The 16234-nt window shown below is 34.2% G+C and overlaps 1 long non-coding RNA gene across 1 annotated transcript in view, besides 1 other annotated feature; it reads left to right on the forward strand.

Moving 5' to 3' along the window:
• LOC107986770 (uncharacterized) overlaps positions 1-16234 on the forward strand; it is a 407223-nt gene that overhangs the window by 160553 nt on the left and 230436 nt on the right. The window lies entirely within an intron of this gene.
• Positions 10794-11863: an enhancer, noted in NCBI's record as "VISTA enhancer hs550". NCBI's record gives its function as "enhancer in: forebrain[3/5] | branchial arch[3/5]" and the evidence as "EXISTENCE:transgenic organism evidence [ECO:0001131][PMID:17130149]".

The raw sequence follows: 16234 nt of genomic DNA on the forward strand, positions 1-16234 counted from the left end.
TCTTCTTTTTTTTGGCAACCTGTTGTGAAATGTTATCAAATTGTAGTTTTAATGGCATCTCCTAATGATTAATGAAGTTGAATATCTTTTTTGTGATTTATGGGTAATTAATGTTTCCTCTTCTAGGTAAATATTTGCTCACATCTTTTGCCCATTTTTCTATTTGTTTGTCTTGTTAAAATTCTTATATTGGAATTATTTATATATTCTCTGTACTAATCCTTTATTGGTTACCTGTGTTACAAATATCTTCTTTTACTTAAGGGCTTTGCTTCTCACCCTTGTCTTGTAATTAAATGTTTGTAATGTCAAATTTTCTAGCTAAAATATCCTTTTTATCAACAGAGTCATAAGGTTATATTTTTAATACTTTAAAATTCTGTGAGGTAGGTGGATCACGAGGTCAGGAGTTCAAGACCAACCTGGCCAGCATGGTGAAACCCGTTCTCTACCAAAAAATAAAAAATACAAAATACAAAAATTAGCCGGGCGTGGTGGCGGACACCTGCAATCCCAGCTACTCGGGAGGCTGAGGTAGGAGAATCACTTGTCCCCAGGAGGTGGAAGTTGCAGTGAGCCGAGATTGTGCCACTGCACTCCAGTCTGGGTGACAGAGTACAAAAAAGAAAAACAAAAACAACAACAACAAAAAAATTCTGGGCTTCATGTTTAAGTCTCTATTGCATCTGAAATTACTTTTATGGCACAATAAAAATTAAGAATACTTTCTCAACATTTTTTTCTTTATGGAAAGCCACTGTCCCACACCATATATTGTACATATCCCTACAGATCAACAATTAGAGCTTTGTTATATTTGTGGGTGTGGGTGTAGGTGTGTGTGGTGTGTGGTGTGTGTGTGTTTGTGTGTGTATGTATGTGTGTGTATGAGAATGAAAGCGAGAGTTTGCTCTGGGTTCCTTGTTTGGTTTCAATGCTCTATTTATCTATCTGCGTCAATACCACATTATCTGAAGACTTCTGTTTGATCCTGATATGGCGTAAAGCAAATTAGCTCTATATGGTTCTTCTTCAGAAGTGTCACTTTTTAATTTTTGGTCCTTTGCTCTTGAATATAAATTTTATAATCAGCATAACGAGTTCCACAAAAAATTTTATTGAAATTGCATCGAGGCCAATTATCTATTGCTTCATAGAAAATTATTCTAAAACTTAGATGTTTAAAATAAGCACTAATTGTATTTTAAGCTCACAATTACGTGGGCCAGGCATTCAAGCAGGACTGAATTAGATGATACATCTGCTCCATGTGGCTTTGACATGCCACCTGTGGTATTCTGCTGTGGATGGACTGGCAGAGCATCCAAGATGGCTTCACTCATGTCAGGCATCTTGGTGGAGATGTCTGAAAGGCTGAATTTAGCCATTACTAAAGTGCCTGTATGGGGCTTCTTCAGCATATGTGTCCCAAGATAGTTGAATTTCTTACATGGCAGATTAGGGTGTATGTCAGACTAGGATACTCACAGGGAATATTTCAAGAGAGTAGCAGTGGAAGCTGTAAGTTTCTTAAGACCTGATCCCAGAAGGATCAGTGTTGCTTCCACCATACCTGATCAGACAAGGCAGCCATAAAGCTGACCCAGATTTAAAGTGAGGGGACATAGTCTTCACCTATCTGTGGAAGGAAAGTCAGAGAATGCATGGCTATCTTTAATCTGCCACAAATCTAAAGATTGAGAATAGACATCCTTGTAACATTGAGTCATCCTATTTAAGAACATATTTCTGCATTCACTAGGTCTTATATAATGTCATTTAAAATAAAGTTAAAAATCATTAATAAGGACCTTTGGCTTTTTCATTTGCTTTATAGATTTGATATCTTATTAGCTCCTCTACAAATAAATGCTCATGTTCTCATCAAAATTAGGGAAACCAGACCAAACCACGAATTTATTCAAATAAGAAACACATTTCCTGATTTCCAAAAAATACTAACTAAAGTTTAATAATTTTTCAAGTTTTATTCCAAATGTTCAATACTAATGAAACAATTTTTAATATACTAAAAATAATAACATTGGTTCATAACAAGAAGCATATATGTGTTTCCCTGATGTGTGTGAAGACTAGAACTAGTGATGATAGTAGCCAATGCACGTGTATTTGAGAGACTGGCCTGTGACGTATAATCTTTTCCACACAGTGTGCATGGGTTTGCAGCTGCAGCTGTTATTTGCAGAGCCTGGCACTATTTATGCCTCTGCTTCGTGTTCTCTTCAGAGCCCTTGTTCTCAAACAGTCACCCACCACTGATTGCCAAATACCAGGTTGAGCTGTCTGCCACTGCTGTTTTTCCTAGCCACTCACATCTTTGCCTTGTCTTTGAAGGCATACTTCAGTGTGCCTTGGAAAAAGTTTTGTCCCTAACCTCGTTTCTGTAGTGACTCTTCAACTCATCATGCAGTGTTTGCCAGATCTTCTTGCTATCATCTGTTCCCTACATTTGTCCAGCCCACTCCAATGAAGTAACAGCATTTTATTTAATATTATATATGGAATAACTATGTCATCCCTTCAGATAGTACGTTATACTGTACAAAGTGTTTTCAAATATATTATTATTTTAGTTGGATTCTTACAAATTTGTAATGTTACTGGGGAGTGGTAAGTTTATTTGTTGTTAACTTTTATTGCATCATAGCCAGATGCTGTGGCAGGTAATTTCTATGTAATATAATATTATATTACATTTAATTTTCCCCATACATTATCCCCCAGTTAACTGATAAAAAGCAAAGATGATAATGAGACTTATCTAAGTTCACACAAGAAGCTGAGACCTAGACATTCTGCCTCCTATTTCAGGGCTTTCCTACTACTCCATACCATCTTCTATGTCCTGTGGGTGATTTGCTTAAATAAGTGAGCTATAAAACTTCTGGCCAGGCATGGTGGCTAACGCCTGTAATCCCAGCACTTTGGGAGGCTGAGGCAGACGGATCATGAGGTCAGGAGTTCGAGACCAGCCTGACCAATATGGTGAAACCTCGCCTCTACTAAAAATACAAAAATTAGCCAGGTGTGGTGGGGCGCACCTGTAATCCCAGCTACTCGGGAGGCTGAGCCAGGAGAATCGCTTGAACCCAGGAGGCAGAGGTTGCAGTGAGCTGAGATCACGCACTCCAGCCTGGGTGACGAAGCGAGACTGTCAAAAAAAAAAAAAACAAAAAAACTTATATCACTGAGTTGTATAGCAATTTGCATGCCTTTTCTGCAGTACTTATCACACCACATAATTGTTATTTTGGGGTAAACCCAGACCCTTATTTGAGTTTAGGAGTATATCATAATTAATATCTTTTATCTGCAGCACTTAGAATGTGCACAATAAATATTTGATGAGTAAATCAAAGGATGAATATGACACTTAGAACAACACAACAACAATGTGTATACTTATTTAGAAATGGCATTTAAAGCCACATTGACATTCTAATTAAAAAAAAATACGTTGTTCTCTGTATTAGTGTAAGTCAAATCAGGAGAGAGAAACCACACAGGAATTTCCATAAGGAAAGTTTAATAAAAATAATTATTGACTAGTGCAGAGGATCGAAATATTGAGAGATTGCCTAGTAAGAAGTAAGGAGAACTCTAAGGAACATAATGAGTGCAGATATAAGAAGACATTTTCCTTAGGAAGAGGCATCTCCCACTCTGCTCCAGGGTTGAAATTAAGACCTTGCTGTGGAGGGCACAGCTGTAGCTCACTGGTGGACAAACCAGTTGTTACAGTGTCCTGCCCACAGAACTTGCTGGAAATCAGCCCTCTCGGATACTGGGAAGTGTTCACAGGAAGGTATTTCACCAGAGGCACTGGGCAACGAAGCCTTCTGAAGATGACCAGGGAAACTTCTGGATGCTGGCATTGCTGGCTGCTATGCACTTCAGGAGCCGGGCTCTGGGGAAGCTGTGGGAGCCAAGGCTGGAGAATCTCCCTACCTTAAAAGAGCTTGGTGTTGGAGAAGCCAAGCTCTGTGGGGCCTTGCTACTGAACACACCAGAGCCAAAAAGAAAACTTTTTTTTTCCCATTAGTGATAAAGCTTAATTCATATTGTGCCAGCTGGTAATAGAAAAATATTTAAAGGGCCCAAATTTATTTTCACAGAGTAGGCAAAAAGGATACATTTGGAGCTGAGAGGCAATAAATTGATCATTTATTCCTGATATCATTTTCAAGTCTCATCACATATTGTTGCTTTAATGGAAGACTGGATGGTTTTCTGTTCTTATAGAAAAAAGAAGAATGAATGATGGGAAAGTCTTCCACTCTATTATCCTAGTCCTAATATAGCTTATTTCATAAAGTGGTAAAAAGAGAAGCTTATGTGATTCAAACTCAAGGAAACACATTTCTTCTTGACTTACTATCTACAATATTTTTGACCCTGTATCAATTAACCTCACTGAATCATAAATAATTTATGTAATGGCTAAAAATGTCCTCATAGTGTGTTGGGAGATTTAAATGAAATAATCTTTATAATGCTCATGGCTAATTCCTGGCACACGTAATATTCTCTTTTCTAAGTGGTTTATACAGGTTAAATATCTTTTATCAGAAATACTTGAGACCAGAATTATTTCAGATATTTGATTTTTTTTTTTAATTTTGGAACATATTTACATTGTATTTACTGGTTCAACATTTGTAATCCAAAAATCCGAAATCCAAAATGCTTCAATGAATGTTTACTTTGGACATCATGTCAGTGCTGTTTCAAATATTGGAGCATTTGGGTTTCGGAATTTTGGATTACAAATGCTCTTACATCATGTTTACAGTATAAGATGGCCAGGCGCAGTCACTCACGCCTGTAATCCCAGCACTTTGGGAGGCAGAGGCGGGTGGATCACCTGAGGTCGGGAGTTCAAGACCAGCCTAACCAACATGGAGAAACCCCATCTCTACTAAAAATAGAAAATTACCCTGGCATGGTGGTACATGCCTGTAATCCCAGCTACTTGGGAGGCTGAGGAAGAAGAATCACTTGAATCTGGGAGGTGGAAGTTGCGGTGAGCCGAGATTACACCCTTGTACTCCAGCCTGGGCAATAAGAGAAACTCCATCTCAAAAAAAAAAAAAAAAAGTACAAGATAAGAGAACTAGTCTTCTGGTTAGTTTTTCAATGACTTTTAAAATCTGCTTGTGCTGTTTACCATGAGGAGTACTCAAGATGCATTTATTACCAAATTGTTATATTCTGCACAAAAATGGATCAACCTAAATTGGATAAACCTAGTTTCTTTCATTCCCTTAGTCATAAGACATAATCAAAGATATTTTGGGATCATGGCTACATCAGGTCAGCCAAATCTGTTAGGTAACTGGCAGTGTTCGCATATTAATAGGCCTATGTGCTCAGTGATTGTACCTCTGAGGTTATGTTGTTCTTTGCACCTTTGTTGTAATTGACATAAAACATGTCTATGATATCACTTTGTTCCCTAAAGTCATATCACAACCACATCAACAGTGGGTGATTTATGCTGCTTAGAAACTCTTCCGGAAGGGAACAAATTGAAATATTTGCAACTAGTAAAAAAAAGGATACAATACTATTTGCGTATGGGTTGGGTCAGATAAATCTGACTTTGAGAAATGTATTTGGAATGAACATGTGACTTTAGAATCTGCTTGCACTCTCTATGTCTGAGCTTTCTCATTTGTAAAATAAGGATAACAATACTACCTCATGGTATCACTATGATATATACATGAAATAACTTGTGTGAGGCATTTGTCGATTGGCTGTCAGGTGATGGCAGTTCAATAAATGGAATTTATATGTGATCTTTCTCTTCTTAGTTTTTAAAATGCTTGAAATTCTCTGTGTGCCTCTCTGTCTGTCTCTTTCTCATTCTCTCTGTCTCCCCCTACATATATATGTATACGTCATCTGTATAAGTATATATTATATAATCATGTAAATTTCATATAAACTGATTACTGCCTATCTCTTTTTATCTCATGTCATCCAACACTCCAAATCACTAATTTTCTCCGGCAATGATATTGACTTCCTGTTGCTTCACAGACCGAATTTATTCTCCCCTTCAAGTCTGTGCTCTTACTGTTCCCTCTGAATCCAATCATCCCCAGATAATCCACAGCTACCTTCTTTTTCAGCTATTCAGATATAAATTCAAAGTTTGCCTCTTCAAAAACACCTCCCCTGACCATGCGAACTTACCTACTTTTTCCTCATTCCCCAACCACCCTAGATTTAGTCACTTTATTTCCTTCATGGAAGTTACCACTATCTGAAATTACCTCAATCTCGTGTTCTTTCATTTTTTAAAATGTCTACCTAACCCACTAAAATGTGACGTCTCATTCACTATGCCTATATCATGTGAAATAAAATCACTGATTGTGTAAAATATCTCAAATGAGTGAAGGATTGGGACATCCTGAAATCTTGTAAAATTTCCTCACAGGCCTTCTAAAAGAGGGCATCTATTTGGACATTTGTGGAGGGTTAGCAATTTATGGGAAGAGATGAGACACATGTGTGCACTGAAAGTTCTGAGCCTCCATATGCTTTCTTTTCTTTTCAGTCTCAGTGTAGTCCCTATACTAGAATGTCTGATCTTGCTGCCTTGTATAGATCATATTCTCATTCTACATGAATAGTTTTGCACATTTAGTTTATGCCACCTGAACTAGATGTTTTTTCCCCCTGTTAATCCTTATAAGGATAAAAACAATCACTAGCCTTTATTGAGTGTTAACCACTTGCCAGCCACTATGCTAACAGCCTTAATGCCTCAGCACCTTTAATCCTTGAAACAACTTTATGAGGTAGGTATTTTATTTTTTCTGTTTTATTGATCAGGAAATTGAGACAAGAGATATTTGATAACTAGTCCAAGGTTAGCCAGCATGCATGTAGCACAGCTAGTGTAAGCTTAGGCAGGACTGTCTCAAAGCCCTTTGTTCTTCCCCACTGTGCTCCCAACTTTCAAAGATCAACCCGAAGCCCACCTTCCCTTTGAAATTTAGTCCACACTAGTATGGTTTCTTTTTTTCATCTTCTTTCCTAGTGCCAAAAGGCTCTGTGTATCTCATAGCCTAAAAATAATCACCCACTTCCTGGGTTATTAATACAATTCTACCAGAGTTGAATCTTGATTCCCACAGCATTTTGTGGGCAAAATTACGAGTCTTGAAGAATCACCTCAAATTTGTGCAAATGTTAACAAGAAAAGTGACAAAGATATATAGATAGACAGAAAAAAAACTTACAGTGTTCGAACATAATGTACTTATTGACTCTCAGTCTTTCTAGTAAAAATTTATAATTCCACGAAGGCAATATAAGAGTAGGAAGAGCCTTCTTGTCACTGGATCCTGATTTAGATGATTTTCCCATAGAGTCTCCATTGTTATTGTGACATAGCATTGTAACATTCAGCATTGCGCTCCCCTGTCAATCCTCTGCAGTGAACTAGAACATTAAAATGTTGTGTAAATTCTATCTTTCATTTTCTTCCCTCTCTATCACTTGGTTGACTGACCTTGAGATTTATTAAATCTGTTTTCATGTGCTTTTCCCATACAGGACTCCTTGGGTTGGCCTCTTATTTGCTTTTGGATGCTTTTCTGGGACTCTTCCCCAGCTTCCACCCCTTTCTGCATGTGCCTTTTATTGCTAGATTCTCACTTGGAACACAACTCTGACATTTCCTCAAGCAGTGCTTAGGAACTTAGCTGGATCAGCAAGATCAGTTCATGTGGGAATCATGAACATATTTTAAGCAAATTTAGGCAGGTGTTAGTTGTCTTTGTATCGTCGTTATTCCTTTACATATCTGTCTCCTAAACTATACTGGAAACCCCTCAAGAATAGGAAAAAAAATCACTTATTTCCCTTTACTTTCTGTACCTGCTACATAATAGGTAAATGCATAATGGCATGAAAAAAACATAGCATAAACTAAAAAATTATTTGTCTTTGTCAGTGCAGTAACAATTATTCCATTGGATTAATAGATTATATTGAAAAAGAAAGAAAACCACTACTTTTTCTAAACCTTCGGTGGAATTGGATTCCTTGTTCAGGCAATCTTTTGAGTTTCCTTTGTTGGAAGTTTTAGAGCATGAGAAGGTCTATTTTCTGCCTTAAATAAATAAATATTTTATGGTTAGCCTACAGGTATTGCCAAAAGTTAAAGAATATTACCAAATATACCAATAAAATAATTTTGAAATACTCGTTTATGTCTATATAAAGAAAATAAAAACAGGGTTTAGCTCAAGAATGATTCTCATATGTCTAAACACTACCCAACATAAGCATTAAAGTATATTAAAGAGTATCGGTTTCTGCAGTCAGAAGTTGGTTTAAATCCTAGCTCCTTCCTTTACTAACTTTATAAATCTGCCTAAGTTATAGGACCTTCTTGTGTCTCTATTTCTGCATAAGAAATGGGTACTAGGCTTAATACCTGGGTGATGAAATAATCTGTACAATAAACCCCGATGACATAAGTTTACCTGTGTAACAAACCAGCACATGTACCCCTGAACTGAAAATAAGTTAAAAAAAAAAAAAGAAATTGAGAGATAATACATCTATCTGAAAGGATGTTATAAAGATCAAATCAGATCTTTACATAAATAAATAAAGCATTTAGCACAATCCTTGGCAAATAATAAGCATTGGTATTGATATTAATGGATATCATTCAAATTAATACTATGTTCCCTCAGATAATTTGACATAAACTTGCCTTTTATAATTCCAGGCACTAGAGGTTGACTTCTAACCCTGACACCTTTTATTTCTGTTCTTTTCCTTTCCAGTCCTGTTGTATATAAGAAGTATCCTATGTCCACTAGCTGACTCTGTTATTAATAGTGAGGACCTGTTCAGCATGGTTTTCCTAAAAGGAAACTATCCAGCTTTCATTTGCATTTATATGACATGGTAGGTCTAATGCTTCTTTCAAATCAAAATGACTGTTTTTTTTCTGTGTAGGGTGTGTGTGTTTTGTTTGTTTCTTTGCTACTTTCAACTGGATTCTTTTCCTAAAAATCTTATGCAACAGTAGATCTGATTTTATCTTAAGTAACTTTGAGAGTAGTTTATGATTTTTGTGTTTGCTCCCTTTCCTTTCCCCCTCCGTGACCATCATCGTGTACAAACCTGCCCTTTGAAGAAAACAGACACCTTTACGTAGCCATACTGTTGGCCCCTCCACCACCAAGATTTTTTGCTAATATTGTGCAGGTAGTCATCACATGTCTGCAACTGTAATGTTATGGAAGTCATTTTAGAAACAATTGAAGAAATGTAAAAATGTAAATATCATTCTTGCTTTTATGGAGGTCACAATCTACTTGAGGTGACAAAATTGACACAGACGATTAATCTTACTGCATATCTGTAGTAATTCTGTGTGGTGGAGTAATTGTGTTCACTAATGCTCTTCTTTGTCATCTTTATGGGAGACAAGTCTCTGCACCCCCAGATGAGGACTGTGAGTATAAATTATTCTCTGATGTCACATGTGCATTAACTTTATATAAATTTATCCATGTATTTATTTAGCAAGTATTTATTGAGCCTTTCTAGGGTTGTTTCAGGAAGACCTTTCTGTCACATCACTTTACGTTTCTTTGATAAGAAGGTTTTTCTGTAACAGCTTTTTTCAATTTCTCACACATTCTGAAGAAAAGTGAAGCCTTCTATAGACTCTAACAAATGTTTACCACCCACCTTTGATGTTATCTTCTCTAGGAACTTTTCCCTAATAGCCGCCTCTACCTTTTTTCAAAGTCTGGATTCGGTTTTTCCACCTGTAAATTCTCACAGCCCCTTACTTGCCTCATGGCACTCTACAGTGAATGTTGCTGATTTATCTTTCTCCTCCACCAGACTTTTACTTTCTTAATGGCAATTTCTGTGTCTATTATCATTGTTTTCCCAGTACTTAGCACAGAGTCCAGAATGTAGTAGGAAACTTCCATAAATGCTTGATAAATTATACTTAGTGATACCTTTATCTTTCTGAAAGTAGATTCTGGGTCGGGCACTACATTTTCTTCCAACTAACAGATAACAGTTAAAGCCAGCATTCATCTCAGCTACATCTGAGGCAACCAAAGAAATTCCAAATGATGGAATGTGGCTGCATAAACTATATTTATGTGTTTAAATTCTACATCTACTTTACCACTTTAAAGCTAATTCCTTGATTTTAGGTTGCATTTTATTTTCTCAGGTTATACTCCAGAATATATATGCTCTTGTAGTTTTTGATAATTTGAAGTGACAGTGACACAAAAGTCTTGTATCTATGTGTCTGAAAGAAATGGTACATTTCTGTCTTTTCTAAACCATAGTTGACCTTGCTAAAGCTTTTGGTCTCATTGATGATTCAAGATAAAAAGCCAACCTATTTTTTGTATGGTTGTGTCTGACAAACTCCTGTATAACCCTCATATTTAGTTAACAAATCAATCAATACTTTAAGTTTTTAGCCTTATATCAATTTTTATGATATTCCTTTTACATATATCTTAAGTGATAAAGAGAAAAAAATGAGCAGTTTTTGAATAATCCTAATGTGCTTTAAAGTTTGCAAATGCTGATCTCGAGGCAGGAAAAAAATCACTTCACACAGACATTTTTTAATTGTTTTTAAAACTTCATCCTCCCCTCTTTTTATTAATCTCAGAGATACTAAAGAGACAAACCTTTTAGGACAAAAAAAGAAAAAACAAAAAAAACCCAAAAACACCTCACGGTTTTTCTCTGAGTTTTGGCTGTGACTTTAGCCATTGCTTTGTTTTATTGTAATCAGATACATTGGCATGAAACTACTTGTAACAGATTCCAAAAGTATATGCTGGGCTTTTTATTGGCATATCAAACAGGGAAGCATTCAGGCCATACATTAGCAAGCAGCCAAGTAATTAATAATAACACACGTGAAAGAAAATGAATATTTTGGTTGAGAATCAGAATGAGAAGTAAGACAAAGGCCTGGGATTCGTGTCCTTGCCCTCAGCAGCAGCAAAAATAATGTTATGAATAGCATTTAACTTGAATTTGCAGCAAACTGCTGCTTTTATCATAAACAATTGCCAGATGGTATACATTATCTTTCTTTTTTCTCCTTTCACAAAAGCAGCATTAATTGCAGAGCAGCCCAGGGCTCCACTCAGCTCATCAGTGTGATAACACTTCATGACCCTGATTAGCCGTCAGTCTACTCAATTAAAAAGATCATTTAGACATTCACCCAATCATTTGCCTATCGAGCCACCTGGGCCTCAACCAGGGGCTCCATTTTTAACATTCTCCTGCCCTCTCTCATCTTGCCTAGCTTTTTTACATATCTCCAAAAGACGTAATTGAATTAAATAAAGCGTCTCAGGGGCAGCTGCAACATCTGCTGTTTGTGGTATGTCAAGCCTTCAGCATTAAAAACAGTTACATATGCTCTAAATTAGCAGGTCGCAGAGATGAAACAGTCGATGATAGTGTTTTTGTGCCAGCGTGAGAAGCAGCTCACAGCTGTGTGCAATTTACAATTAAAGGCTTTATCAGAGCTCAATTGTACTAGTGAATCAAGTGGTGAGAGGTCAGTTAGTGAATTAGACCAATTAGAGCTTGTACAGTTAAATTATCTGTCTTATTACCTACTGATAAACAGCCTTGTCATATCTTTGCTGGAATGATGAAGCTGAATGAGTTTTATGAAGTGATAATACAAGTTCACTGTAGTGGAACTTAGTGATATGTGAATTCAAAATCTATAGCAACAAAATGGTTTTATATAACCTTTTAAAATAGCTATATAACAGGGAACTTTGAATTGGTTAAAACACTTCAGATTAAGTTCATCGTATCTACTTGTGAATGCATCTTCAAGTACAAGACTTTAAAAAAATACTTTGCAGCAGAATGACATGGATCTCCTAACTTTATTTTTACTTAATATCAATTTTTAAGTTTAAGAATTAATTTCAGTTAGAAGAATAGAGCAAAACTATGTCTGGAAAATTTAAGGACCACGCATTTCAAAATAATCCAAGAAAAGCATATAGTTTCATGGATATAGTGTTTTACTTTTTTGGAAAATACAAAATCGTCAGTCATTCTCATAATCAAAAAAAATATGCACAGTTCAGAAGTTGCAAATCCTATATATAGAACAAGCCACACCCGTTTTCATCCTTCTATACATACATGGATGGGAATTGATGAAAAGACTGTGTTTAAACATTCGATAATAAAGTCATTGGTGAATTATTTGTATTACAACTTTCCACTGAATGAATGCTCATTTTTCATTTAAACAGTCTCACGATTAGCAAATAACAAGAGGTATCCATTAGTACAGGTCTCATTGACTAGGCTGATCACCGATACCAATCGGACTAAAAAAGCTACACTCAGAATCATTCCTCAATCACTCATCAGAAAGTAGTATGGAGAATACATCTTAAATAAAGCATATTTAGGTCTCCTAACATACTTTTTCTTAGAGCAAAAATCCAAATTTTTAGTATTAGAAAAAACTCACGACAGAGATTTTAAATAATATTTGTTCATTGATTTACTCTTTATTTAACAATAACGTTTGAGTCCTTGGATTTATTTTATTAACCAAACTTTAGTTTTCTTAGACAGAAACAGTTATATTTCTCAAAAAACTGGGACTATCTTTTGCTTTCTAACAGGTTTCTGTTTGGAAACAAAATTTACTAAATCCAGTATTAAGGACTATAGTGAATCATACTCAATAATATACATGGGTCAAAAATGTACCTCTCTTTATATAAAAGTATTCCAAAGTTATTTAGTAACTAATATCCAATATTCTAGTAGTAAAATATGTTTAGAAAAGCATAATCAATATTCTCCTTTGAGAAGACACAACATTATCACAATATCAGTTTATCTCAAGTAAATGTATAAATATAATACTGGTTAAGATCATCAAAAAATACATTCATGAAATGTATTAGAATAACTTTCAAATGTACCTAGAAGGGGGAAAAAGCTGCAAAAGCATCAAATAAATTTTGAAGAAGATAATTGAGAAGGAACATATCCTGGAAGCTATAAGAATGAAAATAGTATATATATGGCATAGGCACAGATAAAGCAAAAGACTACACTAAGAAGTATATAATTAGATGTAAATTAATTTAAATATTTTATAAAACAATGTGGTCTTCCAAATGGATGGGATAATATGATTTTTATATGGTATTAGAATTAAGGACATTTTTAAAATTAGAATCATAGTCATACCATAGAATTAAGGGCATTTTTAAAGTTAAAATCATATTCATACCAAAAAATGTTTAAGTAGATGACGATTTAAATATTCGTAAGGAAATAACTTACTAGAAAATATGTAGAGAACTTAAATATCTTGGATAGATTAGATGGTGCCTTTCAAGTGTGACAGTAAAGGCACTGTTACACTTACTGTTGTAAGAAAATAGAAGCAGATTTGGCCACATAAAGTATACTCATGCTTTTACACTTAAAATTTTTTAAGTCACAAGGATAATGAAAAACTACACTGCAAAACAATTTTCAATATTATTACATACACAGATGAATTTTAAATCATATATATTTACCATTGGAAAATAAGCTAATGGAAAGAAAAAATTAATTTGAAAGTAAATACATATACAAACACATACAAATAAATATGTAAAACATCCTCAATATTCACAGAAATGCAAATTAAGACAAAGATTAGATGTTATATTTGACATACTAATTTGTCAGAGATTTTAAAAATAATAGTAATACTCGACAAAGGCAGAAAAACAGGAAATTACCTTCCTTCAATAAATGCAGAATCACTTCTGTAAAATAATTTAGTAAAGTTTAACAAACAAAAGGTTTTGATTTTTTGATAACTTATGGTTCAGCGTCCCACTTTTGGTCATTTTTCTTGAGTAAATTATATTAATCATGAGGCAAGAATACATCACATTGTCATAGAGTAGAACTTTGGAAATATCTTGGTCTCCCACAAATTAGAGATCAAGTTTAATAGGTAAGTGTGTAAGTATTTCTATAGCACAAAATTATATCCATACATTGTTATATTTTAAACAAATATGCTAAAATATGGAAAATATTATTGGTAGATATTATCTTTTAAAAGAAAATAGGGTAAGAAAAAAATGTTAAAATATTTAGACTATAAACAAAATATTCTGGTAGGATATATACCTATCAGACTTATGCTAGGTCTCATACCTACATTTTAATAGTATTTGAATGGTGGCAGAATATATGGTTAAATTTTCCTCTCATATTATAATTTTCTAAATGTTTTAGGTAAGCACTTATTTCTTTTTTAATAAGAAAAATAGTTGTGCGAAAATGACTTAAGCAGTTTGGGTTTCCAAGAGGTAGTAAACCTAGTAATGAGAATTTAGGTCTTACATGATAGAAAACAAAAAGTTATATTTTAATAGAAACAATACATTTAATATAAATCTTTTAAATTGTTAATTGTCTTACAAAATGTTATATTACTTTCCACTGAAAATATTAAACATTATTTATTATATCCATCTGAAATTTTGAGCAATATACAAATGATTGAAATTCCTTACTCTGTTTTGATTTTATTTTTATTTTAAATACTTATTTTTAAGTGAGATTCAGTTCTAGAACTGTTTTTGACTTGATGTGACTATGCTTGGCTTACCAGATGCCATTTTTCATATTTCCAATATGAAATTACTTATCATCAAAAAATTTTTATTAAAAGGGACATATAGTTTGCAGAAAGGAAATGTAAGACTTTAACATTAAACCAATGTTAATTATCAAACTAACTGGGACACATATATTTAAATTTACAAGTAAATAACAAACAGTGACCATTTTAGTTAGCCCAGATGAAAAGTTTAATTGTTTTAGGGAAATCAGTAACTTGAGAATGAACAGAAATACTATATATTTTCAAATACTTTGAGCTCTTCAAGAGACCACAAATGAATGCATTATCACTTTAATTGTGAGAAGATATGGCTTTAATTTGGTAAAATACTTTATAAGTTGGGAAATGCTGGAATCTAAGCTGAAAGACTGTGGATGAACTTTCAAAGTAAATGCCATATTCGATAAGGCACTACAAGATGAATTTTTCAGTCATTAGTGCAGTTGAACAGTGACTGAGAGAAAAACAGTGAATTAAGAAGAGATCTATAGGTTTAAAATGGGGTATTAAAGTTCCTTACTATTGCTTTACATATTTAGGTGCTGCAGTACAATAATTGTACATATACATGTGTGTATGTTTATTCCCAACATTTTACATATGTGTGTTTATATATAATTGCACATATATATGTGCAATTATATAAGATATATATAATTGCACATATATATACCATTATTACAACTTACAATGAATTGAACCTTTTATCATCATATAGTGATTGTCTTTGCCTCTTGTAACAGATTTTCAGTGCAAATCTGTTTTGTTTGCTTATAAATATAGCTACCTTCACTCTCTTTTGGTTACTATGTGCATGGAATAACTTTTTTCATCACTTTATTTTCAGCCTGTATACAACTTTAAGGCTAAAGTGGGCTGTTGTAGGCAGCATATTGTTGGATCTTGTGATTTTTTTTTTTTTTAATCCACATAACCACTGTGTGTCTTTTGATTGAATAATTCATTTACATATAAAGTAATTATTGATATGTAAAGATTTACTATTCTTATTTTTCTAATTGTTTACTGACTGCTTTATAGTTCTGTTATTTCTTTCTTCCAATCTCTCTGTATTCCTTTGTGATTTATTTAATTCTTATAGTGATAGATTTTAATTCTTCTCTCCTTATCTGCTTTTTACAAGTGTAATGATCAAATCAGAGTAAGTGGGAAATATACACTAAATTATTGTTAAATATAGTCACTCTATGTTCTACTGAACACTAGATCTTATTCCATCTCTCTAACTTAATTTTGAAGTCAAAACCAGAGAAGCACAGTAAGAGAGAAAAACTGCCGGCTATCTATCTCACTAGTAACCATACATGAATAATCTAAAATAAAATAATGACAAACGCAAAATGTCAGTTTAGAGCAGGGTTCCTCAAGCTACATGGCACTCAGGCCAAATGTCACCAGTGGAGCCTGTTTTTGAATGGCCTACAGGCTAAGAATGGTTATATTTTTTGAGAATTTTTTTTAAAAAAG

Source organism: Homo sapiens, chromosome 7 (assembly GCF_000001405.40).
Source record: "Homo sapiens chromosome 7, GRCh38.p14 Primary Assembly".
Lineage (NCBI taxonomy): Eukaryota > Metazoa > Chordata > Mammalia > Primates > Hominidae > Homo > Homo sapiens.